A 1693-nucleotide genomic window follows, 5' to 3' on the forward strand; every position below is an offset into this window, starting at 1 on the left:
ACAACAAAAAAAATTCCAAAACATGATTATAAAATATTTTTCTTTTACCTTCATTAAATTATCCAGAATAGAAAAGGTTATGGAAATGCCATGTGTTTTAGAGATGAAACAAAATGACGTTATCAATTGAAAGTTTAGTAGGTTAACATCAAATAGCTTACAATGTTCCAACTATATTTTAAAATTACATTTAGCCTTTTGTTTCATAATCCCTTCCCTCAGGTTTCAAATACTATAGTAATAATAGGCCAAGAAATAGAACTTCCTCTTTTATTTCTCCTCAGTTCCTAGCAGTTGTTTAAAAATATATATTACTTAAAATGGACTTGAGACTAGTGGAGGAATAAGATTAATTTTAGGAGGTTGTGAAAAGTGGAAAAAATAAAAATACAAGTCATTTTTAGGACAGTAGGAGAATGGGTAGCCATCTTTTTATTGCTGGAGACATTTGTACATCATAGAAAAAAGTCCAGAAAAATTAATAATAAAATGGTTAACAGTGATTACCTTAGAGAATGAAACTCTACTCACTTCTGTATATTGTAAATTATTTACCATAAGCATGTAGTAATTTATTAAAAATTTAAAAATTGCTTTAAAGAGATACATACTCACATGCATAATGTTACAGGTAACATCATCCTGATCTGTTCAAAACCATTTTAAACATGAAAAACATCTTTCTCTGTCATTAAAAACCAACTTGTAGACAGTAGCCCCCCCTTATCTGCAGAGGATGTGTACCAACACCCCCAGGGGAATGACTGAAACCACAGATAGTACCAAACTCTCTATATACTATGATTTTTCCTATACATACCTATGATAAAGTTTAATTTATAAATTAGGTACAGTAACAGATTAACAACAATAATAATAAAATAGAACAATTATAAAAACATGCCAGCATCACTACTCTTGCACTTTGGGACCATTGTTAACTAAAATCAAGGTAACTTGAACACAAGCACTGAGTCCTGCAATGGTCCATAGAACTACTCAGCTACAAGTGACTCATGGGATGAAGTGACTCATGGCCAGGGAGTGGCTCCAGCATGGATAAACTGGACAGAGAGAGAATTCACATCCCAGACGAGACGGAGCAAGACTTCATCATGCTACTCAGAATAGTGAGCACTTTAAACTTATGAATTGCTTATTTCTGGAATTTTGCATTTAATATTTTTAGACCATGGTTGACCACGGGGAAGTGAAATTGTGGAAAGTGAGAATGCAGATAAGGGGGAAACTTCTGTATTACAAATGCTAAGAAGCTCATCAACAGGAATTTTTTAAATTTACAAAAAAGGAAGCCTTCCACTTCAACAAATTCTACTTTCTCATCAGATGAATGAAATATCAGTAGATAACTTACCACGAGCAAAAACTAACAGACTTCCACAAGACAATAAGTTGTGCTGTCTCAGACACAACAATAGAAAAAAAATCCTAAAATGAAATTTAGAGATTTCTCAGGTTTTTAGCAATGTATGCTCTTTTAGGATCCTCCGATAAGTCACAGGAAGCATATAGGAAAACTTCAAAGGTGGGTCAAAAGATGACTAAAAGAGTGGAAATTAGTAGTTGTAAGAAAAATAGAGAAAAGTAAAATTATTCATCCAGAAATAATACATAAAAGACTTAGATACAGTATCATGATCAAGCTTCTCCATGGCAAATAACCAACGTAAAA

This window comes from Homo sapiens, chromosome 10, assembly GCF_000001405.40.
Source record: "Homo sapiens chromosome 10, GRCh38.p14 Primary Assembly".
NCBI classification, from domain to species: Eukaryota; Metazoa; Chordata; class Mammalia; order Primates; family Hominidae; genus Homo; species Homo sapiens.